At 42.6% G+C, this 27383-nt stretch overlaps 1 long non-coding RNA gene across 1 annotated transcript in view, besides 1 other annotated feature; it reads right to left on the bottom strand.

The window, feature by feature from the left end:
* The window catches only part of LOC105374428 (uncharacterized), a 92257-nt gene that overhangs the window by 32515 nt on the left and 32359 nt on the right, over positions 1-27383 (bottom strand). The window lies entirely within an intron of this gene.
* Positions 666-960: an enhancer, noted in NCBI's record as "tiled region #6384; HepG2 Activating non-DNase unmatched - State 13:Ctcf, and K562 Activating non-DNase unmatched - State 24:Quies". NCBI's record gives its function as "activates a minimal TATA promoter and a strong SV40 promoter by Sharpr-MPRA in HepG2 cells, with weak activation in K562 cells {active_cell/tissue: HepG2 | K562}" and the evidence as "EXISTENCE:reporter gene assay evidence [ECO:0000049][PMID:27701403]".

The following is a 27383-nucleotide window of genomic DNA, read 5'->3' on the forward strand; positions in this document are numbered from 1 at the left end:
CTCTACAAAAAAAAAAAAAAAAAAAAAAATTCAGCTGAACCTGTAGAATAAGTAGCCAAAGGGGTCAGAGGGGAGAAGTGATCCAGGCAAAGGACCCGTCCTTCGTCTTAGTATTGCTGGACAATTGCCCATGGTTTTTTTTATCCACTGGAATGTTAGAAACCTGAACTTTTGACCCAGCATGGTGGCTCACACCTGTAATCCCAACACTTTGGGAGGCTGAGGTGGGTGGATCACTTGAGGCCAGGAGTTCAAGACTAGCCTGGCCAACATGGCAAGACCCCATCTCTACTAAAAAATACAAAAATTAGCCAGGCATGCTGGTGCACGCCTGTAACCCCAGCCTCTTGGGAGTCTGAGGCATGAGAAATCGCTTGAACCCAGGAGGCAGAGATTGCAGCGAGCTGAGATCGCACCACTGCACTCCAGCCTGGGCAACAGAGCGAGACTGTCTAAAAAAAAACCCCAAAACCTGAACTTTTGTCTCTTAAAATAGTGCATGAGACTAGCTAGTTGTGATGTTTTGAGAGTTGAAGTATTGTCTTGAATAATTGAGTGGCTTTATTTCAGAAGAACCCTCCCCTCCGTAGACCCCCTGGGGGAACCCGGGGAGTGTTCTGCCCATGGGAAGAGTGAGCCCAGATCACTCCCTGCCTGGTTCATTACAACCCTGGGAGAACACCAAGAACTCACTTTGTTGATACACAGTCTCCCAATGGAAAAATTACTTCCTGCTTGTAAATGAGTCACCAGGGGGTGTTGGTTTTCCTTCCAGAGGTCAGGCATGCTATTGAGCGCTGTGATTCCCAACTTGGGAGAACTGGGACACCCTCATGTCATTTGTTAGATTTCTTGATGACCTCATCCTCCAAAAGTGCTATGAGACAAATGTGCTTGTTTTAAACATTTAACTGGTCATAAAATTCATTTTACTTTGAGGAGTTTTGAAAAACTGATGAAACCCCAGGTGTTGGAAACCCATTGTTAGGCATTAAATAATACGTCGATTCGTTCAGGATCCTAATAGCCAGAAAGAAAAACTAGTTTCTTAAGATGTTTCTGTTGTTCAGAAAGGGAGGCAAGCTAATGATCTGAAACAAGAAAACCTCTGAAAAAGAAAAGGTGAGGCTGGCATTTGGATATCTGCTTGGGTAAAATGGTGGATGATTTGCCTTACTTTTGAGAAGGATGGTTCCTGAGTGTATCACCACTACCCTGGAGCATTCTCAGAGCTGCTGCCCTCTGAGACAGCAGGGGCTATGCTGGAGCCCCCATTTCTCCTTCCATGGACCTAGAGATGCTGAGATGTTCTCTCCCTCCCCTTCCTGAAGCCTGTCCCGACATTTCAATGGGAGATGCTCAGTGAAAATTTTCATTTATGTTTCGTGTTGAATTGTGTCCCCTCAAAAGATATTGAAATGCTAACTCCCAGTACCAGTGAATGTGACCTTATTTGAAAACAGGGTTTTTGCAGATGATCAAGTCAAGGTGAGGCCATTAGGTTGGGTCCTAATCCAACATGATGTATTTCTTACAAAAGTAGAAAATGTGGTCAGAGAGACAGACAGGTACAGAGGGAGGATGAGGTGAAGATGCAGTGAGAACGCCATCTACAAGCCAAGGAATTCTATCATAAGCTAGGAGAAAGACAGGGAACAGATTCTCTTTCACCGCCCTCAGAAGGAACCAACAGTGTTAATACCTTGACATCAGACTTCCAGCCTCCAGAACTGTGAGATGATGAACTCCTATTGTTTAAGCCACCCAGGACTTCATTATGGCAGCATCAGGAAACCAATACACTCAGCATGCATTTTCTCAGTAAATAGGAGGTGAACACATACTTGGGATGAGAAACTACTTCTTAGGCCTTTCTTTTTTTTTTTAATTTTTATTTTTAATTTTATCTTTTACTTTTTAGGGCCTTTCTTTATCTTAGGTGCAGAGGGGCCTAGATCTCAAAAGTGTTTGCCATTACTATCACCATAGTCACTATTATGATTTATTTTCTGCCAAACTCTGTATTAATAGCATTACTTTCATTATTTCATATATTTCTTAAAAAGTAGCCAACTGTATACCCATTTTATAGGAGAGAGTACATTGGGATCACCCATCTGATTAATGATGAGACTTGAGTTTTAACTATGCTGGGGGGCTCAGGATCCTGGCTTAGGGGCTTCTGAAGGACTGGTATATTAGTCAGGGTTCTCTAGAGAGACATGACTAATAGGATAGATGTATACAGGAAAGGGAGTTTATTAAGGAGTATTGACCCACATGATCACAAGATAAAGTCCCACAATTGGTCATCTGCAAGCTGAGGAGCAAGGAAGCCAGTCAGAGTCCCAAAACCTCAAAAGTAGGGAAGCCCACAGTGCAGTGTAGGTCCAATAGTCCAAAAGCTGAAGAACCTGGACTCTGATGTTCAAGGACAGGAAGCACCCAGCATAGGAGAAAGATGGAGGCCAGAAGACTTCGCCAGTCTAGTCCTTCCACGTTCCTCTGCCTGCTTTTATCCTAGCCGTGCTGGCAGCTGATTAGATGGTGCCCACCCAGATTGAGGGTGGGTCTTCCTCTCCCAGTCCGCTGACTCAAATGTTAACCTCCTTTGACAACACCCTCACAGACACACCCAGGAACAATACTTTGCATCCTTCAATCCAATCAAGTTGACACTCAATATTGACCATCACAACTGGGAATTGTAAGTCATACTAAAGTATAGCTTCTTATGGGTAAAGGAGTTGTAGAGGGTTGGTCTAGGAATCTATCTACCAATAATAAGACCATGTGTTTAGGAAAATGTGCTCTGAGTTTCACATAACTGACTTGCTAATGAATCTTTGAGACATATTCATTAGTTAGTTGGTTATATTTATGGGTTGCCTGTGGCATTAAGTTGAAATGTTATGTTACTTATAACCATGGTTCAGAATTTTTTAAAAATGTGCAGAGGTGTGCTATATTTTCTTTGTTAAATAATATTAGAAGATTTAAAATGCATCTTTTCTCCCAGCTGGATGAAGGGAGGTATTAATGGGGCTATTCGATTACAGATTAGCAGGATGGAAATGAAATTGAGGGGAAATCAGTAAATCAGAATGAGAGATTTATGTTTTAGTAAAGTCACTAACTTTTACAAATTAAAAATAGGGATGATGAGAGAAACAATTCCCCAGAAATCAAATAACCACACTTTTTGGATTGATGAAGATGGCCCTCCCTACTCCCTTTTTCCTCCATAAATGTTTTGTTCAGAATAAGGAGTATAATCATGGTAAGTGAATGTACAAAATAAGTTTTTTTCTTTTATAAAGAAAGCTTTTGAAACCTTATAACTAGAATTACTTGAGAAAATTATAATTATAATTTTGGCACTGATTCATTATAAAAGTTACTTACTAGATAATCAAAAGGGTTATTTTCTAATTTCCTGGTCAACACATTTTCTGAGACACTCTATTAATCAGATCTCAATTGGATGCAAATATCAGAATCTTAAATTAAACAGCTTAAAAAGTGGGAGGGATTTTAAAAGTCACCTAATTGCAAAGTCTAGTATGATCTCTATTAGTCAATAAAGATGAATGTATGAACCCAGAACAAAACCAGTCTCACCTGTTGATGTTAAAAATGTGGTGTGGACCGAGTGCAGCAGTTCACATCTGTAACTCCAGCACTTCAGGAAGCCCAGGCAGGAGGATCACTTGAACCCAAGAATTCGAGACCAGCCTGGGCAACATGGTGAGACCATATTTCTACAAAAAATTTAAAAAATTAGTCTGGTGTGATGGTGCACACCTCTAGTCCCAGCTACTCAGGAGGCTTAGGTGGACGATGGCTTAATCCCGGGAGGTTGAGGCTGTAGTGAGCCATGATAGCGCCACTGCATTCCAGCCTCGGCGACAGAGTGAGACCCCATCTAAAAAAAAAAAAAAAGAGTGAATATAAACCTAAACTTTGGCCAGGCACGGTGGCTCATGCCTGTAATCCCAGCATTTTGGGAGGCCAAGGCGGGCAGATGGCCTGAGGTCAGGAGTTCGAGGCCAGCTGGGCCAACACAGTGAAATCCTGTCTCTACTAAAAATACAAAAAATTAGCTGGGCATGGTGGCGGACGCCTGTAGTCCCAGCTACTCTGGAGGCTGAGGCAGGAGAATCGCTTGAACCCGGGAGGCGGGGGTTGCAGTGAGCTGAGATCATGCCACTGCACTCCAGCCTGGGCAACAGAGCCAGACTCCATCTCAAAAAAATAAAATAAAATAAAATAAAATAAAATAAGTCTAAACTTCATAGTTTCCCATATGTTGTCCTTAGATTATAAGAGTTTGAAACCACCCAATGTCAGTGAATGAATGACAGCTCAAAGATATAGATTGTTGATTTTGTGTCATTTTTACATTACCATAAACATGTTGGTTGCCTTTGAGTGTCTGGGGGGGCATTTTTAAATTGGAAAACTTTCAAATTTGCTCATAAAGGTTATTTTATCCTGAACTCCTAAGAAGAATAGGAAATGGATACAAAGTTAACTGAAGAACTCTAGCACTTCCAAATAAAATATCCATGACGTCCCCAGATAGTACTTGACCCTCATCATGTGTCTGAAAATGGCCAGCTTTGATGGGATTACATTTGAATTACATAATTCTTTGAAGGCGTTTTACTGACATATTGAACTCTTGTGGGCAAGAGAAGGCCTCCTCTCTCTACCTTCCTCCTAGGCTGATGAATGTCCCATTAAGGTGGTATGAGTTTTACATTTATGTCCCCACATGCTGGAATGAGGCCTAACTTCCATGCTGTAGATTAAGATGGGGAGGTGTGAGCTAATAGGTAGATATTGTTGTTTGATGGGGGAAAAATTCCTTTCTCAAGTAAAGATATTTTTCTTTTTTTAGAATCATGGAATTTGAAACAGCCAAATCTAAAGACTCCATTTTGCACACACTTTGCTGAGGACAGATAAAACCCTTACGAGTTAATGAGAGAGAGTGGGTGACGGGTGATGTGGAAAGAGCATGAGAATAGGAGCCAGGTGCTACAACAGTCTGGGTTCTGATTCCCAGTGGCAATCAGAGGAAAGCTGCCTGGGTCCCAAAGTGCTAACCCCCACTCAATAATCACATGCCCACAGTCAATTACACCAGAGGAAATGCCCACTCCTGATGGCTGTGTTGGGTTTTGGGGTCAGCTTATTCAGAGACTTCTGATCCCTCAGATTTTGGTGGGGACTCTGACATTCGGGTGGAAGCTTTCTGAGCAGAAACTACATAGCGGCTTCCAATAAGCTGGTTTCAGTCAGCACTGAGACTAGTCCCTTGTTTTGTTGTTTCCTGATAATGAGAACAGGGACTTGGGGTCTAAATTCCTTTTCTCCCAGGAAGTTCAACCATTTTAGGAAATCTGTACAGGCACATGCCTATATGTTAATAAAAAAATGCTGCCTATCTTCACTCACCATTCAGCATCCAAGTCCCCGGTGAACATGGTCAAGTTGTGAAAGATAACTTCCAAATCCACCACTGGGGCCACCATTGGCGCCAAGTGTAGGAAAAATGCACTTTTACATTTGAAATTCCTAGCAGACTCTTCCAGGAGAAGCAGCACATTTCACCGCAATGTGGCTACTCAGGTCTTCTCATCTAGCCGTCTACCTGCACACAATGGCCTGTGTAGAGCTTACAGCATCTTGTAGAGTCAACAATGACTGTAACACTGTAAAAGCCCAAGCTGGATTGACAGGAAAAAAAGCACTGTCTCCAACAGGACACAGGGAATATGATCACTCAGAGATAAGCCCACAATGTGAGGCATATGCAAAGACCAAGAATGCAACTGTTCATTGAACAGATTACACAACATCTCCCTTATTTCTTTACTCCGGACCACTGAGTAAGATGATGAGCAGCTTTGTTGTACCTTCTGCTTTTGTTGTTGCACCTTCTACTTTTGTTGTTGCTGCTGTTCTTTTTTTAAAATTCTAGTTCCATGATCCTATTACATTTCTAAAACTCAGGAAACAAAGTACCAGGGTGACAGGAGAATAGAGTTGAAGTCACGTTTACTGACGGAAACCAGGAGTTTGAGCACTGCCAGTTATTAGCTATGTGACTTTGAGCCAGTCATTTAATCATCCCTGCAAACCAGAGGTGACGGTGTTAAACAACCCATGTGGTTGTTATATTAAATGAGATTATGTATAAGGAAGTGCTTGTAAAACGGAAAGCACTGCACAAATACTACTTGAGATTATTGGTCAACTTGCAATGGAAAATGATTCTGTGTCCTTAAATCCCTTTGGCTTCCCTGGTCTCTCCTTTGGGATCACTAACTTCTAGTAGCCACAGCAAGGTGTGCCCAAGCATAGAAATAATCTCATCATCACCTACCATAGAAACAGTGGGAGAGCACACAGGCACTCAAGGACACACTCGTAGTAACATTTCTGGGCTTCACATCAAGTTGAAAATGCATGTCAAAAGGCCTGTGCTTGACCAAACTCTTTTTTCTCACTCTTCCCAGTACCTAAAAAGGATCATATAGTCCTAATTAGGCCTAGAGAGGCCCACAAAAGAAAGTTGTTTCCAAGAGCTGTGGATTTATGGACTGAAAACTGTAGGCTACTGTGTATTTTAATATATTCAGAGAGACAATTAAGATAACTTTAGTTATGGTTTTGGAAAACAGTCTGGGCAGCCTTCAACTGAACATATAGGCCCTCTCTGTCAAAAACCAACTGAAATGACATTTTTGGAATCAACTCACTCTGTTAAAAGCAACCAACCATCTGAAAACACTCAATGAATTGGAATAAAGTTGTACAAAGTTTTGTGATCCTCAGGAGAGGAACAAAAGTTTGGAAGAAAACTTAGCTGCCAAACTGCAGAAACAGAGAACTCACAAGGAAGGGAGTTCAAGGGCCTACATGTGTGAAAAAGATATTCAGCTTCGCTGAACAAAGTAATGTCAGCGAAAACAACAACAAAACGCCATCGATGGGGATAAAAGTAAATTCCAACACTCAGTGTCAGCTAGGTTCTGTAAAAATAGGCACTCTTCTACCCTGTGGGTGGGAATGTAAATTGGTATAATCTTTTTGGATAGTGACTTTGGCCAGATCTAAAGTAAAACTTTAACTTTGTAACTCTGCTTCTAGAAATTTGTTCTAAGAAATTCATCATAGATTCTAAAAGTCATGAGTGAATGAAGATGTTCATTGCAATCTTATTTATCATAAAGAAGATGGGAAAAACCTAAATGTTCAATAATAGGGGAATAATTAAATAACTTGGGATATAGTTATTTATATTTAACATGTTATACAGTGTTTACATTTTATTATTTTGAACTGTATTTAATAACATGGAGAATCTTGTTCTATAATGTTAGTTATAATAAAGGAAGATGCAAAACTGCACACAGTGTGGAAAGCCTACCTAGGAAATCTACATATAGAAAGAGTGAAGAGAATATAACATTAAAGATTGTTACCACTGTGTGGTAAGAATATTCACTGCTTCCATTTTCTTTATATATTTTTGTGTTTTCCAAATTACAGAAATTACATATAATTAACATGTACACATTATTTCAACAATTAATAAAAAGTAATTTTATTTATTTATTTATTTTTTAGAGATAGGGTCTTTCTCTGTTGCCCAGGCTGGAGTGCAGTGGCGTGATCACAGCTCATTGCAGCCTTGAACTCCTGGGCTCAAGTGATCCTCCTGCCTCAGGAACTTGGATTACAGGCACGTGTCACCACGCACTGCTAATTTTTATTTTGTAGAGATGGGGTCTTGCTATGTTGTCGAGGATGGTCTCAAACCCCTGGCCTCAAGCGATCCTCCCACCTGCACCTCTAAAAGTGCTGGAATTACATGCATGAGCCACTGCACCCAGCCTAATAAAAACGTAATTTTAAAAAGAGTAAATATTTGGTGTTCTCAAGAACACTTTCAACTGAGCTAGCTTTGAATGCAAATGGAGCCCCTACCTGCCCAGCAAGGAGGGAGAGGTCATTCCGACCTCTGCTCCTTTCTCCAGGAGAAATTCCAGCTGGAGCAGGAGAGGCATCATCAAAGTGAACACACAGGACTTCTAGTTCTGTCAACCATCAAAATTCTCTTGAATATGCACGACAAGAATTTAAAAGGAAGAGGGTGGGAAAAAAATCCCCTTCTAATATTTCTGCTCTTTTTCAAGTTTTTTTCACTCCCCGTCAGTTTAAATTCTGTTAAGTTTTATCTTTACCTTCTGTCCAATTGATAATCTGAAAATGAAGATAAAGAGACTGAGACATTCAGAATTTTCCCAAGAAAGTGAATTAAAATGGCCTGGGGAAGGCATGACTGAAATCTCTTTCTATTTAGGTTTGAGATGAAGCTGTGTAGTTCTAGAGTTTAGTTGGACCTCTGTGAGTCTAGTTGTTTCTAGCTTTAGCTGATTAAAAAAAAAAGAGCTTTCTCTTTTCCACCAAATAGGAAATGACTCAAACCTTGTCCAGTACATCTAAAAGATAGGATAGAATTCACAACACGGTATCAAGAAGAAAACAGCTGGCTGACATCGGTGCTGGATGTTTTCTGCTTGTCTCTCCAGATACACTTTACATCTCTCACTCTGCCCTCTGTCCAAGAAGACTGGCCATTCTGAACTGCATCTAGGCCTCTGCCTCTAAATTCCAGTTCGGTTTGGCCAGTGGGAGCCATGGGCAGGAGAAACGGAAGGGCCTTGACATATTATTCCCCTGGCTCACTACATGCTGGGCTGGGGCTTGTCAGCGGCTTTATCCTGTAGACAGCCTTTTCCAACAGCTGCAATTCTCTCTGGGCTCCAGCGACTGACTCCTGGCCCTTCCCTTCGTGCTTAGCAGCAGCTTCTGGGTGGTGCTGGCCCCTGGGTGCTTTACCATCCCTTGTTGATTTCCCTTAAACCTCACCAAACCTTTGTAAATTGTCCTTTTCTCAAACTCTCTTTAATTTCTCCTTTTGAATTTGCCATCTCTTTCCTGCCAGGACCCTGAGCTTTAAAATCCTTATGGCACAGTTCAGCTTCATCCTGTGTCATGTCTACCTATGAGAATATCCTGATGGCACATTTGACGGAGCTCATGTTTCATAATCATTATGGTGAGTAGAAAGTTTGCAAGCATTTCATAGTGCGACAGTGGTCAGCTTTAGAACCCCATGGTCTACAATAGTGGATCTTAGCAACTGAGTTTTACAAAACACCACTGTGCCAAAACAGAGGTAAGCTAGAGTGATTTATTAGTAATAATGAAGAATTGAGTTTTCATTCGTAACAATGAAAAAATGTTTTTTATTAAAAACAAAACTAACAAGAGTAGATGTGCTGTTTTTATAATTATGCCATTCTTACTCACAGACATTCCAGTGTGCTTTCTTGAGATAGAGGTAAAGGAGATAGGGCGGTCCAGCAAATGCACCACAATTTGCCCATAAGCTGCATGAATCCATATACCAGTCCATAGAAGTGACCCTGGGAGCATGTACCACATGTGCTATCACTTATCTATATGTAGTGGTAGAAAAAAGCTGGAGAGCTATTGTTGGATCACATAACAATCCATTAAGGGAATGCTCTTGACTTGGTAGCTCTACTATTTGTCATCCAAATTTTCTCATCAGTCTGTGTAGTAATAAAATTACTAATATTTCACCAATAAGTGCCTTAGTTGCATCTTCTTATTTAATCCTTAAAACAATTCCCATTGTACTAATTAAGAGTTCATTGGCCGGGTGCTGTGGCTCATGCCTGTAATCCCAGCACTTTGGGAGGCTGAGGCAGGCAGATCATGAGGTCAGGAGATCAAGACCATCCTGGCTAACATGGTGAAACCCCGTCTCTACTAAAAATACAAAAAATTAGCTGGGCGTGGTGGCGGGTGCCTGTAATCCCAGCTACTCGGGAGGCTGAGGCAGGAGAATTGCTTGAACCCAGGAGGCGGAGGTTGCAGTGAGCCGAGATCGTGCCATTGCACTCCAGCCTGGGTGACAGAGCCAGACTCCATCTCAAAAAAAAAAAAAAAAAAAAAAGAAATAAAGAAAAAAAAGGTTCATTAATAGGCTGAAAGGGAGGTAGTGTATGGAGGACATTCCATACTTTCACAAGGGAGCTCTAGCTAGGGTATCTTGGGATAAATGTGAGCCAGCTAATATTTATATCACTGCTTCCCGCTGAGGCTATGACTAATAGATCTCAAACAGTGAATAGAAAAAAAAGTTCAAATCTCTTCCTCTGGTCAATTTAACTCAATTAAATTGCTAGATCTTGAGGGTGCTGAGATGAATGAAACATAGTTCTGCCCTCCAGGAATCTGAAGCGTAGTTGGTAGACAGAGATATAAACAATTAATGATGGAACAGTAATAAAATATGATTAAAATGATAATAGAAACATGTTTAAAATTTAGTAGGAAAACAGATGAGAGAGCGATTACTTTTTTAAGAGGTAGAGGGCTCTCATGAAAAATTATGTATCGAAGGTGACGGTTAAGCTTGACCTTGAGGGGTGTTTAGAAGTTCAACAGTGAAAGTGGTGGAGAAAGAGGTATTACAGGAAAGGACCCAGTAGGGGTCTTTCTTCTCATTCCTGCCAAAGGCTTAAAGTTTCCAGTTGCTATTCAGCATTGCATTTCCCATGACCTGACTAGATTTCTCACTCGTTCCTCTTTGGGTCTGAGGGATTAAAGTGCTATTGGAAGAGAGGCATTGGGAAAGGAGAGCTGGCTGGTTTTCGGTAAAATCCAACCAGTGGTCTTGGTCTCAGCAGGACCATGTACCAACCACCTGAGAAAACTAGCTAAATACCCCGAGTCTGAAATCAGACAGAAATGTACAATTGGAGATGTGGATCCCGCTGTGGATCTCGTTCATGGGGCCCGCCTCTAACTTGGCTGCACAGATAGCCTTGGAGACAACTATCTGTCAGAGATTCTTGTGGCCACATGGAGTTTGGATTATGAAAGTATTAGGAAAATATTAGGAAAGGAGAATTTATAGTAGAGATTAATCAACTCAATACTATTACTCATAAGTATACTGTATTATATCAGACCAAGAAGAGGAAAGAAGATTTGGAAGATTGTCCAAGATGGCATAATGATTGATAGAGTTTACTTGACTGAGAAAAGCGGACTTTAAAATATGTGAGTCCTACAACTTCTTATCTTTGCCCCCAGACACATGCAAATTTTTTTCTTGCTAAGATCCAAAGACCTTATTCGCCACTGTCTTATGTCATCTGTCTTAAACCCTGGACTTAATATTGTCTCTTGTTCTTCCAAAGTGGTCAGTATAGATACCCTCAAAGCCTGACAAAGAGACTAGTGGATTGGGTAAAAGGAAACCAAAATGAAGGTGGAAAAGAATATATTACTCTTTAAATAGAACCAGAAATCAAGTGCTGAGATCAGCTTGGCTTCAAAAAGTAATAGGATGCAGCAACAAAAAAGACGCAATACTTAAGAGTAAAATTAACAATAAATATGTACGTTTTATATAGGGAAAAAAACAAACTTTAAAACACTCTGAAAGGCACAAAAATAGACTCGAACATATGGAAAGATGTTCAGGAACATATCCCTGTCTTGATAGAATGACTTAGTATCATAAATATCATAAAGATATCAGTTCTTCCCAAGTTAATGTGATCCCAGCAAAAATACAAATAAGCCTTTTTCTGGAGCCAGACAAGCTGATATTAAAGTTCATAGAGCAAAACAAAACAAAATCTAAAAAGCATGCAAGAATATTTGGGGAAACACAGGGGAAAAAAAAATGCTACCTAACATCTATTATAATGTACGATATAAAACTTCTGTAATTCAAGGTGTCGTTCTGGCACATGCATACACATTCAGACCAACAAAATAGAACAGAAAGCCCAGGAATAGACCCACATATGTGTGGAAATTTAGTACATGACAAAGGTGGTATCTACAATCACTGAGGCAAAAATTGACTTTTAAACAAATGGTGTGGGGACCACTAGACAACCATATACAAGAATAAACTCCACATGGATCCAAAATGAAACCTGGCCAGGTGTGATGGCTCACGCCTGTAATCCCAGCACTTTGGGAGGCCAAGGAGGGATGATTGCTTCAGCTCAGAAGTTTAAGACCAGCCTGGGCAACATAGGGAGACCTCGTCTCTATTTAAAAAAAAAATAAAAACAAAATTAGCCAGGCGCGATGCATGCCTGTAGACCCAGCTACTCGAGAGGCTGAGGTGGGAGAATTGCTTGAGCCTGGGAGATCACGGCTGCAACGAGCATGCCACTGCACTCCAGCCTGAGCCACAGAGCAAGACCCTGTCTCGAAGAAGAAGAGGAAGAAGAAGGAAATAATGAAATCCACCAGTGTTAGGAGAAAATACGGGTGACTTTATAGCAGAGATGTGGGGAGATGCTATCTAAATACAACTCAAAATCCAGATGCAACAAAAAACCGATCATTTGAACCACCTAAAAGTAAGACCTATTTGCATGGGAAATTAAAAAAAAATAATGGCAAAGTCATAAGATAACTGACAATTGGGAAAAAAAAACATTTGTAACATATATCACATAGGGCCAATACTCTTAAAATATAAAAAGTAGCAGGATGTGGGAGGTGAGAATGCTTCTCTAGTTTTTTCTTAGTTTATCATTTCAGTCTTCACTTCTGGGCTTTCTGTAAGGGCCACTGTAATTAGCTTGCTGTTGGGTTGGTCTGATTTAACATTTCATGGCCACTTTGTTGTTATTTTTTGCTAACTTGTACTTTTACTCCTGGGGACCTGCTTGATTTATAAGTGTTTTCCCAGTTCACATTTTGCACTGGACTCTGCACCTGGTGTTTTCCCTGGGCGGGCAGCAACGACTGGTTTGCCGGGCTCTCATTTCGCTGAGGGTTCCCAGTGAGACCTGCGCCTGTGTGGGCGGCAGGGGGTTCAGAGAAGGAGGCTGGGTGGAAGGGCTCCTTTAGCAGAGATTAATACACTCCAAAATACACTTAGTTTACAGTCGTGGGGATTTCCAGGTGTTACTAGACACAGAGAGTTCTTTATGGTATCCCAACAGGGATGGATAAGTTTTCAAAGGTGGGGGGGTAAGATAAACAAGTTTTAGGTCATAGATATCTAAACCGGATCCTCATTTTCATCTTTGTTACTTGAGGAATCATAGTTGAATGCACAGAGACTTAATTTAATTGTCTTCAAATTCATTAAAGTGTCATGGATGGGCAACAGGAAGATAATGATATTCTGGAATCAGGGAATGTTCTGGAAAATTAAGGGAATGGTGCCCAGACTGCTTTCCACCCCTCACCCCCAATACCCTCCATGTTACAGGGGGGGCAGCTTTAACCAGAGGTTCACACTCACATCAGGATAGAAGAATGCATTTCCTGGAAGTGCATTCTCGTAGAACTTTGGTCTGAGTTCTGAGCTGGACTGACTCACAATTAACCGGTAATTACTACTACAATAGCACTTTGCATTAGTAGAGAACTTTCTGTTTTTGAAAGCATTTCCACATTACTTTTCTCATTTGATCTTCACATGGCCCTGTGACACAGGCAGGGGAAGATATGTCTGCCCATTTTACAGATGAGGTAACGGGGGCTGACAGAGGTTAAGAGAGGTGGAGAGACAGACCAATGGAGGACTCTGGACTAAAAACCAGGGGACTTGGGATAGATTCCATCTGGCCATTCACCAGATGTCTTGAGCACATCTTGAGCAAGTCAGTTACATAAAGCTTTCTGAGCCTCCACCTCAGCTTCAGTTAAATGAGAGATTTGCACAAGGGGGTGGGTCCTTGAGACCCTCCCAGTGTTACTGTTACAAGATTTTACCACTTACCTGACTTCACCAGGAATTAGTCAGTGGATGGGAAACAGAATACAAGACCCCTGGGCCACAAAGTCCTTCCCTGTCCTCTGCCCCACACAGTGCAGAACCAAGGGCTCACTTGGGATGGCGGGGAGTGTAGACTTTTTCCTTCAGCAGGCTACAGATGGAAGGAATGAGCTTTCCTGTCTGATTGCAGGAAATTTCTGAAGTTCATTTTATTTTCTTGTAATTTTCAATTCCTCCTATGTATTTTTTCATTAACGTTTTCCAGCTTTATTGAAGTGTAATTTACATACCATAAAATTCACCCATTGTAATCACGTAAATCAACGCTTTCAGTAAATGTATGGAGTTGTGCAGTCATCATCACTATCTAGGTTTAGAGCATTTTCTTCACCCCAAAAAGTTCCTTTGTATCCGTTTACATTAGTCTCCATCCCCTTCTCCAGCCCCAGGCAACCACCAAGCTGCTTTCTGTCTCTATAAATTTGCCTTTTTGGGGCCTTTCATATAAACGGAGTCATAGAGTATGTAGTCCTTTCCATCTGGCTTTTAAACGTAGCATTCCAAGTGATGGCAGCGGCAGCCGTCAGGAGCGGCCACTGTGAAGACGCTGGCAGCAGCAGGGGAGGCACGGCCAAGGCTGTAACTCCATGGAGTTGGCAGGAGCCGGGAACAGGCGGGAGCCCTGCCCGGGTCGGAGCTGGCGTGGCACGAGCCCTGCCCGCCTGGGTGCAGCCTCCCCCACAGGCTCGGAAATGCCTGCTCCTGCTACCTGGCCTGTATCTGTTCTTGGCGCCCGCTCCGATTTCGGAGAAAAGTTGAGGCCGAGTCCGGGTGCTGTGGTAACCTGGCCGGGTATGCGTGCGCTCGGGGTGGGGCTGACACGCCAGCCCTTTGCCACCTCGGCCCCCTCCTGACTTTGAGCACTATCACAGAAGGTAGGCCAAGGGAGGGCCTGCCGGCTCCTCAGCTGTAGCAGCTTGGGTCCCATGATGGCAGCAGGAGGCAGACAGGCTTCTGGGCAGAAAGGGGCAGGTCCGGGCGAAGCCCCACCTTCAACTCAGGTACGGCCTGAAGTATGGGGGCCAGGCTCTCATTTCTGGATGGAATCTGAGGCCCAGATTAAGAACTTATGGTGCTTTTTCCAGGCCCACACATGGCTGCCCATGGACCAGTCAGCACACACTTCCTCCCTCCTGAATCCCATAAAACCCCCCAGACACAGCCGCACTCACAGAGGCTTCAGGACTATCAGCTGCAGGAAGGAGCTACCCAATTCAGTTCTCCTCAACTCTTTGGGACGACCTGCCTATGGATAGGAGCTCCCCACTCTGGGTCTCCTGTCCACTGAGAACTGGACACTCCTCAGGACCACTTGCCTGCGGAAAGGAGCTACCCACTCTGGGTTTCCTGAGAGCTGTTCTGTGGCTCAATGAAGCTCCTTCAGCTTGCTCACCTCCAGTTATCCATGTACCTTATTCTTCGTGGAGGAAGGAGAAGAACTCAGGATCTGCCAACTGGCGGGACTGAAAGAGCTGTAACACAAACAGGGCTGAAACACGCTCCCCCACTTGCCATGTTGTGGGCTACAAGAAGGAGGGAAGAGCTGTGGCCCTTTGGGGACCCAGACCTAGAGGCTCCCTGAACCATGGCTGTGACACCATCTTTGGGGCTCTGGATTTTGGTGTCTCCAAACTTCCAGGCACCACTGCACTCCCCTCGTCCAGACATGTGTGCCCACAGTGGAAGCCACTTGTGGTGCATCAGATCCAGTTGCAGGCTTGCACGAAGCTGGTGCCCGTGCTGTCACCTGGAGCTGCATGCCCCACTGCAGCAGCCGGAGTGCCTGGCTGCCTGCAGTGGCCAGACCCTGTGCTTGCTCCTTCACGCACCCTTCACCACTCCGGGCCTGGCTGCCCCTTGGCAGGCATGGGATCTGGGTTGATAGCGCTAGCCAAGTACAGCCTGCCAGGCCTGGTGGGCGGAATGAGCCCAGCAGGCCGGAGCAAAACTCAGGGAAAAGCACCACTGGCCACAGAGGTTTCTGGCTGGAAAAGCAACACCCGAAGAATCCTGTGACACACAGACTTACTTCCTTTTTATGGCCCAACAATATTCTACTGCATGGATATACCACATTTCACTTATTTGCATATCAGCTGATAAATAGTTCAGCTGATTCCACATTTTAGATATTATGAGTAATGCTGCTATAAACATTTGTGTACACGTGTCTGCATAGACATATATATATTTTTTCATTTCTCCTGGGTAAATTCCTAAGAGTGGAAATGCAGATTGTTTTTTTAAGGTCTTATGCAGTGTTTGAATCTCCACCTTTAATTTTTATACTTGAATAAAAGATCCATAGAAAAATGTGTGGGACAAGTAAATACATAATTTGCTTGTATTATACCTGATGGCTTTTTTTTTTCTGAGATGGCGTTTCACTCTTGTTGCCCAGGCTGCTGGAGTGCAATGGTGTGATCTGGGCTCACTGCAACCTCCACCTCTCGGGTTCAAATGATTCTCCTGCCTCAGCCTCCTGAGTAGCTGGTATTACAGGCGTGTGCCACCATGCCCAGCTAATTTTTGTATTTTTAGTAGAGACGGGATTTTGCCATGTTGACCAGGCTGGTCTTGAGCTCCTGACCTCAGGTGATCCGCCCACCTCGGCCTCCCAAAATGCTGGGATTACAGGCATGAGCCACCGTGCCCGGCCACCTGGTGGCTTTTATAAAAGTGTTATCAGTCTTAAAGTAAGACTATACAGTTTATAATCATAAATAAGGATCTGTTATGAACTAAATTATGCCCCCCCCAAAAAATTCATATGTTGAAGTTCTATCTACTTAATATCTCAAAATGTGACAAATTCATAGGTTGAAGCCCTAACCCCTAATACCTCAAGGATGTGACTGTATTTGGAGACTGGGCTTTTAAAATGGCCTTTAAAGAGGTGATTAAGGTTAAACGAGGTCATATGGGTGGAGCTTTAATTCAGTATGACTGATGTTCTCATAAGAAGAGCAGGATACACCCAGGATGTGTGTACAGAGGAAAGGCCATGTGAGGACACTGAGGACATCTGGAAGCCAAGGACAGAGGCCTCAGGAGAAGCCAGGACCACTGGTATCTCGATCTTAGCCTCAGAAGGGTGAGGAGATAAGTTTCTGCTACTTAAGCCACCTAGTCTGTGGTATTTTGTTATGGTAGCTCTAGCAAACTAATAGGTGTTCCTATATTTTAAGAAAGCTGCCTTTAAGTGCCATTGGCAGGGTGTTTCCATCACTCTAATCCCCTTCACATGTCGTATTCTCCATTGAGACCAAACACTCTGCTGTCCTTGGTGAATCTTTCACAGCCTCCCTTTATTCTGTCTCTTCCACATGGGTGGCCTCTCCCTGCATGACCCTGGATCATGGTCACATCTGCAGTTATTCCCCGCAGTGGCCAAAAGCCACATCCTCTGTGAGTACTGCCTCCCACTGGAAGCGAGTCTCTTCGGAACCCCCACCCTTTCATCTCTGCATTTCTATGACAGGAGCTCCCTCTACCCTGTGTGTCAGCTATCGGGTACAACTTATCTTTATGCTGGACTAAGAATCCTTGTGGACAGGAAAAGTGGTGTTTGTATTTATTATCCTCCTAACCTAACCTCTGGCTCAATGCCTGACACAAAGTAAGAATTGTTTCAATTAATTAAAAATGAAAACTGGCTGGGTGCGGTGGCTCACGCCTGTAATCCCAGCACTTTGGGAGGCCGAGGCAGGTGGATCACGAGGTCAGGAGATCGAGACCATCCTGGCTAACACAGTGAAACCCCGTCTCTACTAAAAATACAAAAAAATTAGCTGGGCGTGGTGGCGTGTGACTGTAGTCCCAACTGCTTGGGAGTCTGAGGCAGGAAAATGGCGTGAACCCAGGAGGCAGAGCTTGCAGTGAGCCGAGATCACACCACTGCACTCCAGCCTGGGCGACAGGCACTCCAGCCTGGGTGACAGAGCGAGACTCCGTCTCAAAAAAACAAAAAAGAAACAAGAAATGAAAACTCAAGCTACCAAGATACTTAGAAGTTTCAGAGCTTTATGAAGACATAAAATGCTAAAAGTGAAGTAAGGGTAGAAAAGGAATGCCTACCAATGTGGGAGTAGGCCGGGCGTGGTGGCTCACACCTGTCATCCCAGCACTTTGGGAGGCCGAGGTGAGTGGCTCGCTTGAGCCCAGGAGTTCGCAACCAGCCTGGGCAACATGGTGAAAACCCTTCTCTACCAAAAAAAAAAAAAAAAAAAAATCCAAAAATTAGCTGGGTGTGGTAGCAAGCACCTATAGTCCCAGGTACTTAGGAGACTGAGGTGGGAGGATCGTTTGAACCCGGAGGTCAAGGTTGCTGTCAGCCAAGATGGTGCCACTGCATTCCAGCCTGGGCAACAAGTAAGACCCTGTCTCAAAAAAAAAATGTGGGAATAACAGAATACATACATTGGAAAGTCACTGCTAGTGACCATCAGCCAAGCCACTTCTCCACTTAAAACCTCAGCTTCCTTGTCCTCAAGTGCGAGAGTTGACCTAGCAAAGGATGTTCTATGGCTAACGTGATATGTTTCTATAGATTATGATGAGTTCTGCAGGATTCCTGTTTTTGAAGTGCCTTTTTGAAGGGTGGAAGAAGTTCAAGGTCTAAATTGTATTATAAGTCAATTAAATGAATCTTAAAGTGAATGTTGAGGCCAGGCACAGTGGTTCATGCTTATAATCCCAGCACTTTGGGAGGCCAAGGCGGGAGGGTAGCTTGAAGTCAGGAGTTCAAGACCAGTTTGGGCCACATAGCAAGATCCCGTCTCTAATAAATTTATTATATTATTGTTATTATTATTATTTTGAGATGGAGTTTCACTCTTGTTGCCCAGGCTGGAGTGCAATGGCACGATCTTGGCTCACCACAACCTCCGCCTCCCGTGTTCAAGCGATTCTCCTACCTCAGCCTCCTGAGTAGCTGGGATTACAGGCATGTGCCACCATGCCAGCCTAATTTTTTGTATTTTTAGTAGAGATGGGGTTTCTCCATGTTGGTCATGCTGGTCTCTAACTCCTCACCTCAGGTGATCCACCCGCCTCGGCCTCCCAAAGTGCTGGGATTATAGGCATGAGCCACTGCGCCCATCCTAAAAATTTTTTAAATGAACAAATAAAATGAATTTTGAGTTTCTGTTTTCCCAGTAAAGCTTCTCTACTTCTCCAAATATATATACTTTAGAAGTGCTAGTCCATGCTTTCTGGGGGCCCAAACCTTAAAGAAGGAAACAAGGCACAGGAACTCATGTTCCTCCTCCTTTTGACAATGAACAATTTTGAAGAGATGTGCGCGTGCGTGCACGTGTGCATACACACACACTCTCTCTCACACACAATCAGATTGAAACTATAGAGCATCATTTTCAAATCAAACTCCACCAGGAGAATGCTTTGTGTGGGAATTACACTATAAAATAAAACACAAAAATTCCCCAAGTGACAAGAAAAAAAGAGCTTGTGTGGTAAACAACCCCAGAAGGGGCAAGTACTTCTGTGTAAGTGGCCTCTGACTTTCCTGGCCCAAGTTTTCACTTCTCCTTTGGGTTTCTTTAAGTTTTTCTTTCACTCTCCCTACTACACTCAGTCTCCAAGGATTTGTAGATTTTTATTTCTTTAGGCTGAGGCACAGACAAAAATTCTTTTCTTTTCCTCCCTTTGCTCAGCAAATTTCTGGAAAACAAAAAAACTGGGAGAGAGCAAGGGAGAAATGGAGGATGGGGAGTGAGTACCACCTGGCTGAACTGTCAGCATATAGGCCTCTTTTTCCCAGGCAATTCAATCCCGACCCCAGGCTGGCTGGAACTGCTGGCCAGCCCATAGACCCTGGTCCTCTCCCTCCTCCTGTCTTTAGCTGGTCTATAACATTGTCTTCCTGCTTAAGGCTTAGTCCACCCAATTATCCTGCACCACCAACGGCAGAGGAAGGCCAGTTATGTGGTCTTTAGGAAGTCCCCTAATCCTCTGGGATCTGCTACTGGGCTGGCTTTTAGCTTCTAGTGATAGCTCTTGTTTCATTCACTTGAGCATCAGTAATGAACACTGCTAAAGCCCAACCCCGTTCAGTCTATTTCTCAACTTTCTGATTTCATGATTTCCAGCCATGAAAGTTATGACAAAACTTGATTTCCTCTCTCCCTTACCCTGCTTTTCTTTCTCTCTATACATTTGACGGGAAGGGTCTCTTTGGTGGAATAAAAAGTCTGGAGATTTGTTAGTAAAATAATACACTGAAGTTAAAATAAGTAGATGGTCAACATTAGCAGGGGGAAAAAAAGCTTTTCAGGCTGGGCACGGAGGCTCACGCCTGTAATCCCAGCACTTTGGGAGCCTGTGGTGGGCAGATCACTTGAAGCCAAGAGTTCAAGACCAGCCTGGCCAACATGGTGAAACCCCGTCCCTACTGAAAATACAAAAATTAGCTGGGCATGGTGGTGCATGCCTGTAATCCTAGATACTTGGGAGGCTGAGGTGGGAGGATCGCTTGAACCCAGGAGGCCGAGGTCGAAGTGAGCTAAGAATGTGCCACTGTACACGGTGTTGTGCCTGAGCAACAGAGTGAGACTCTGTCTTAAACAACAACAACACAACAACAACAACAAACAAACAAAAAAAAGTTTTTCTGAAGGACATACTAGTGGATCTCCAAATTCTGGACACATGGTCCCCCTTCTAGCAGCTTCGGCATAACCTGGAGGCTCACTAGACATACAAATTCTCAGGATCCTCCCCAGACCTACTCGGTCAGAAACTCTAGGGACACAGCAGTCTGTATAGTCGTCCCCCTTTTAGCCAAGGTTTTGCTTTCTGTGGTTTTGGTTACCCATGCTCAACCACAGTCTGAAAACATTAAATGAAAAATTCCAGACATAAACAATTCATAAGTTTTAAATTATGTGCCATTGTGAATATTGTTATAATTGCTCATTTTATTACTTATTTTTGTTCATCTCTTATTGTGCCTAATTTATAAATTAAACTTTACCATAAGTATGTATGTCTAGGATAAAACATAGAAAACAGAATATATATCGTTCAGTACTATCTGTGGTTTTAGGCATCCATTGGGGGTCTTGGAATGGATCTCCCGTGAATAAGGGGGAACTACCGTGTCTTAATAAGGCCACCAGAAGATTCTGATGCATGCACCAAGCCTCTGGGTTACACAACATCCATTTTCCTCTTATTTTCATGGTAATAGAACACTGGGCAGCAATGTGCTCAGCTAAAATAAAATATTTCTTATCATCCTTGCAGATAGAATTGGCCAGTGAGTGCAAGCAGAAATCAGGGGGTGAGGTTTCTGGGAAATCTCAGCGAAGGGGGCTGGCTTCATGTTCATCACACCCTTGTTGCCTTTGCCCGCTTCCTGTACTTCCTGCTTGGAACTGGAGGTCCAGCAGCCATCTTGGATCACAAGGTCTAAGGCTGAAGGTGAGAGAGCAGAGAGATTGAAGGAGCCTCGGCCCCTAATAATGTGGTGCTGCCCCATCAGCCTGGCACCTCCTTCCTCCAATTTCTTTAGAAAAGAAATAAATGTCTCTCTTTAAGCCACTGTGGGGCTTTATGCTATATGCAGTTGAACCCAATTCTAACACATCTTATAAATACAATACTCTGAAAAAAACTTAAGCTATAAAAGCCTATTCTAGCAACATATGGTAAAGATGGGGTATCACTCTCCAGATTGAGGCATAAACCCAGGAGGAAAGGCTAGGGGAACAACAGATGGAAAGATCAGTGGCGAGATCTCTGGTGAGACCAGAGATACAGGGTCATTCTCAGATATTCATCCAAGATGAACTCTTTATGGGCTAACTCCATAAAGAAAACACGGATTACTTCTCACCATCCTCTGGACTTTGTGTATATCAGCTAATAATAAGAATTTGTTTCTAGTAATGGAGCATACCTACAAATACAACTAAAGGGCCAAGTATTTTTATAATATCTGTATTTTCTTATGCATATACTCCTATGCTAGGGATTGTGATAGAGAAATAAAGATGAATATTTTAAAGTAGCTACCTTTCAGAAACTCAAGATTTAAAAAAATGGCTGAAAGAGAAGACTTTGAATGCTCACAGCACAAAGAAGTGATAAATGTTTGCAGTGATGGTATGCCAATTACCCTGGTGTGATCATTACACATTGTATCTATGTATTAAATATCACTCGGTACCCCATAAATATGTAAAATTATTACATACCAATTAAAATAGTAACAAAAATTACAAATGTTCAATAAGGGGAAAACCATTGTCTTTTGCAGCTGTTCAGAGACTTGGCCTCAAGAATATTTAACATTAATTTTTTTCTTTTTTATTCTAGGCTAAGGGCAGTGCCCCATCTTGCTAAGGTTGGCATGATGCCTCCAGGGTTTCCTGTGCATGGGTTATGGATCATTTATTTTTTGTTTAACCAAAGTGGTTTGCGTTGAGCTATCTATATTAGACACCTGATTCAATTTGAGTAAATTCCTTTCACTAAAAAAAGATCCAGGCATTGTTTCACTCTGTCCTGTGTTTTCCTTGGGGTAACTTCTTCTGGGTCTGACCTTAGAAATAGTCCTCTCTGGAACTCTTGATGAGTAGGGTTTGGAATCAAAGCAGGGAAGAGTTACTCAGAGCAACTTCGTGGACTGGGTCATTCTGGAGAGGATAGTTCATTCATTCATTCATACATTCACTCACTAAATGGATGTTTATTAAGTACCTATCATGCACCAGGTATTATCCCTGGAGCTATGGTTTCTACTGGTAAGGCCTGGTCCCTACCCACTTTGCTCACAATCAGAATGGAAGACAGACCAGAAGAAAAACCAAAGGCAAACAGAAAGGGAAATCAAGACCCAGAAAGTAAAGGAGACAATTACACATTGTGACATGAGCTGTGAAGGAAACAAACAGGATACTTACAGAGAAAAACCAGGGTAGTGGGTACAGACCTTCCTTAGAAAGCCTCTAAGAGGAGGCAAAATTTGAGCTGAAGCTTAAAGGTTAAGAAGGAGGCAGCCAGGCTGAGAGCCAGCAGTGAGGTGTCCTGGTAGAAAGAACAGGGTGCTCAGAGGCTGGGAAAGGGTTGCAAGTTTCAGGAAGGGAAGGAAAGACAGTGTGAGGGACAATGGGGAGAAGGTGATGGGGCAGCATCTGAGGATTAAGGATTGGGCCGTCTCAGGGCAGAGGGGCTGCTGTGCAAGCCGTTAAATTGCCTGAGGATCTAGAGTTGGAATAGCTTCTCTTTCTCTAGCAACCTGTACTTCTCCCTTTGAGTCTTGTTTTAGATACACTTATTATAAGTCACTGAAAGATCTTCAAGTGCACACATGGGGAGACAAAGGATGAAAAAGAAAATTAGAGATGAGGAGAGAAGGCGGGCAAGAATAATTGGAAGCAGAGGGGCATATGGCTTCTTTGTCTTAGAGAAATCACAAGCACAGCCCTTTGAAGGTAGACACAGAGTTATAAATCTCATTTTATTATTTTACTTTCTTAAAGCTCAATTTGTAAAGTAAGCAATTAAAACGTTCAAATTAAAAAGCCAAAGTAAATCACAATTATGAGTCAGCTCTTAATCTACTTAGATTTCTTTTCCTCTCTCAAAATGAAGAATTACATTTCATGTCAACTTCCACTAAAATCCCAGCAATGAAATTGTTTTCCATGGAATGAAGGCAGGGAGGGGTCTTGTCACATAATGTCCCCTCAGCCAGAGTCCTGAAAAGATCATGTATGGAACAGTCCAATTGTTCATATTGGCATACATTTATACAAGAGTTTTCAAATTAATTATAAGAGTAGAAGACAAAAAAAAAAAAAAATCAAGAAAAGGGCATCTCCTTACTCTGGCCAGGACAAGATGTCAATCTTGTGATTCATCCAATCTGTAAACCTCATTAGAGGTTTTAATAGGGTGAGTTCCGATTGCCAGGGGCAGATGAGAGGTTCAGGTAGAAGAAGATTTTACCAATGGTCCAGGAGGAAAGGGGAGCAGGGTTTCTTTCAGTTACTCACCAATCAGATGCATGTATAAGAGGAAAGTTATAAGCTGTAATCTCCACTGTGGTTGCTGACATTAGATGGCTGGGCTCAGGAAGGAGCCGCGTGACTTTCTTTATATGTTTTTTTTTCACCAGCAACAAGCCGGATTTGAGCTGGCCATTACAGTCCAGTCACCTAAAGATCCCTGTGACTTAATTTCCAAATGCCCTTTTAATCAAGCCAAACTCTCAAATGCTGCAAATTTAGACTGTATTGTCTTCCTCTCTACTGTTCTAATTACACTGTTTTAATTAGATTTCTCCCATCTTATAGCATGTAGCCTGGGACTCAGATTTAATTTGATTTATTAAAATAATGTGATGTTGGAGGAAATTCTCAGCTGTTTCATGAGGTTTGTTTGTCTGTAGAAGGTTCACTCTGAAGTCTGCACAGCAGAGTATGTTTCCTTTCATTCTTTCCTCATAAGCACAGGTTATGTAGCTCCCTGCCCCAGCTTCATCAGGGGAAACCTGAATGGAAGCCAGTGTGAGAAGAGTGGGGAGGAGGGTTGAAGGAAAATAGAAAAAGCCAGGGATGGAGGAGGAGAGCCAAAAGACCTAAGGGACTACAGAGGGAGGAGGAGAGTGAAGGAAACCAGAAGGACAAGGATAAAAACAAAGAAATGAGTCAAGACCTCTTCGATCATCTTCTGAATTTTGTGTTCAGGCATCTCATAGGAAGATTCCGATGCTTGGGAAGCTAATTTTGGCAGAAGTATGCAGGTTTTATTAGAGGAAGAACTAATTGGATGTCCACATGCAAAAAAAAAAAAGAACCTTGGCTCATATGTCTCACTTTATACAAAAATTAACTCAAAATGGATCATAGACCTGAAGGTAAAACTTAAAACTATACAACTTCTAGGAAAAACAAATAAGAACAAGCTTTTGTGGCCTTGTGTTATGCAAATTGTTTCTTATCTATGACACCAAAAATAAGATCCATAAAAGAAAAAAATTGATACATTGGACTTTGTCAAAATAAAACATTTCTGCTCCACAGAAGTCACTAAAAGAAAGTAAAGAAAAGCCACAGGATTTGAGGAAGTATTTGCAAACACATACCTGGCAAAAGATTTGTATCTATCACATATACAAATTTCTCAAAACTCTATAATAAAGAGACAAGCAACTGAATTTAAAAAATGAGTAAAAGACTGAACAGACATTTCCCCAAAGGAGATAAACATGAATAGTAAATAAGCATCTATGAAAAGACACCATTTTTACTCACTAGAGTTATGTAAATTAAAACCAAATTGAGGCTGGCCACGGTGGCTCATACCTGTAATTCCAGCACTTTGGGAGGCCGAGGCGGGCAAATCACCAGAGCCCAGGAGTTGGAGACCAGCCAGGGCAACATAGGGAAACTGATGTTTTATATTTTTTCTACAAAAAGTACAAAAATTAGCCAGGCATGGTGGCGCACTCCTATAGTCCCAGCTACTAGGGAGGCTTAGATGGGAGGATCGCTTGAGCCTGGGAGTTTGAGGCTGCAATGAGCTGTGAGCATGCTACTGCACTCTAGCTTAGGTGACAGAGCAAGACTCCGTCTCAAAAAACAAAACAAAATAAAACATTAAAACCAAAGTGAGATACTACTACATATCTATTAGAATGGGAAGGCAGGCAGACAAAGAAGACAGAAAGAAGAAAGAGAGAGAGAGAAAGGAAGGAAGGAAAAGAAAAGAAAGAAAGAGAGAAAGAAAGAAAAAAGAAAGATAAAGAAAGGAGAGAGAGGGAGGGAGAGGAGAGGGGGAGGGAGGGAGGCGGGCAGGGAAGGAAAGGGAAGGGGAGGGAGGGGAGAAGAAGGGAGAGGAGGGGAAGGAGAGGAGAAAGGAAGAAAGGAAAGAAGAAAGAAAGGAAGGAAGGGAAAGAAAGAAGAAAGAAATGAAAGAGAGAGAGAGGGAGGGATGGGGAGAGAGAGAGAAGAAGGAAGGAAGGAAGGACGGACTGACTGCTGGTGAAGATACCTTTGTGGTGGGAATGTACACCACAAACATACCACAAAATGGTACAGTCATTTTGGAGAACAGTTGTCAGTTTCTGTTTTAGAAGGAGAGAGATGTGGCAGGGCACGGCGGCTCATGCCTATAATCTCAGCACTTTGGGAGGCTGAAGCGGGCAGATCACCTGAGGTCAGGAGTTCAAGACCAGCCTGTGACCAACATGGTGAAGTCCCATCTCTACTAAAAATACAAAAAATTAACCGGGTGTGGTGGCACATGCCTGTAATCCTAGCTATTCGGGAGGCTGAGGCAGGAGAATCGCTTGAACCTGGGAGGCGGAGGTTGCAGTGAGCCGAGATAACGCCATTGCACTCCAGCCTGGGCAACAAAAGTGAAACCTCATCTCAAAAAAAAAAAAAAAAGAAAGAAAAAGAAAAGAAAAAGATCAAAAGGAGAGAGATGTGGCGAGGCATTAAGCCCCGTTGTACAACTGCAGGAATAATAGATGGCTAAGGAAGTGATAAATAGAGAAGACACACAGATGCAAGAACTGACAGGACTTATTAGCTGGTTAGTTGTTATTGATGATGAAAGAAAGAAATATGGGTTAGATTAAATGATTGATTGTTCACCAAATATTCACTCTTTTCCTTCTTTTTCACTTCATGGGGGTAAAGGGGCAAAGTGCCATTGATCCTGGGCTTGACCTTGTAACTGGCTCTAAAAAGGAGGCTTTGAAAACCATGCCAAATGTCTACCCACATTTCTGAAGCTTCCACCCTCTGCCATGAGAAGAGCCTGCTCCCAGTAGCCATATTCCTTCACCCTGGGTCCAAGAATGAAGATCTAAGTTGAAGACTCAAACTCAACATGAAGCCCTGCCTCCTCTACCCCATTCCAGATGAGGCCAGCTGAGCTGCAACTCATTGACAGACCCATAAATATGAAATCAATGCTTGTTGTAAGCTGTTGAAATTTGGAGATGTTCATTAGAAAGATTATTACAGAAGAAATCTAATACACAAAAATTGAGATGAAGCATTACAACTTGGATGGCTGGGAGAATGAAGGACTAATTAGAAAGAGGGAAAAAGTTGGGAAAGAGAGGAACAGAGCACCTTTGGGGGACAAAGAAGTGCAGCATGTTTTTGTTCTGCTTTGTTTGCTTTGCTTTACAAATAATTTGATAGAATTCTCAAGTTCTACTGAGCTTTCAGCTCTTTGAGAGAAATGGTATATTTTGATCATCACTTCAGGGCTGAGCATAGTACCTGGCACCTCATAGACATGCAATAAATATTTGCAAAATAAGTGGATAAGTGAAATATGAGATGATAACAGGGTATTCAGGAGGAAATTCTCTAAACAAAAATGTGAATCAGAACTCAGGTGGGAGAACAAAACTTAGAGATAATGGAATCAATCAGTATAGAGGTGATGGGTAAACCTGTAG

Source organism: Homo sapiens, chromosome 4 (assembly GCF_000001405.40).
Source record: "Homo sapiens chromosome 4, GRCh38.p14 Primary Assembly".
Classification (NCBI taxonomy): Eukaryota; Metazoa; Chordata; class Mammalia; order Primates; family Hominidae; genus Homo; species Homo sapiens.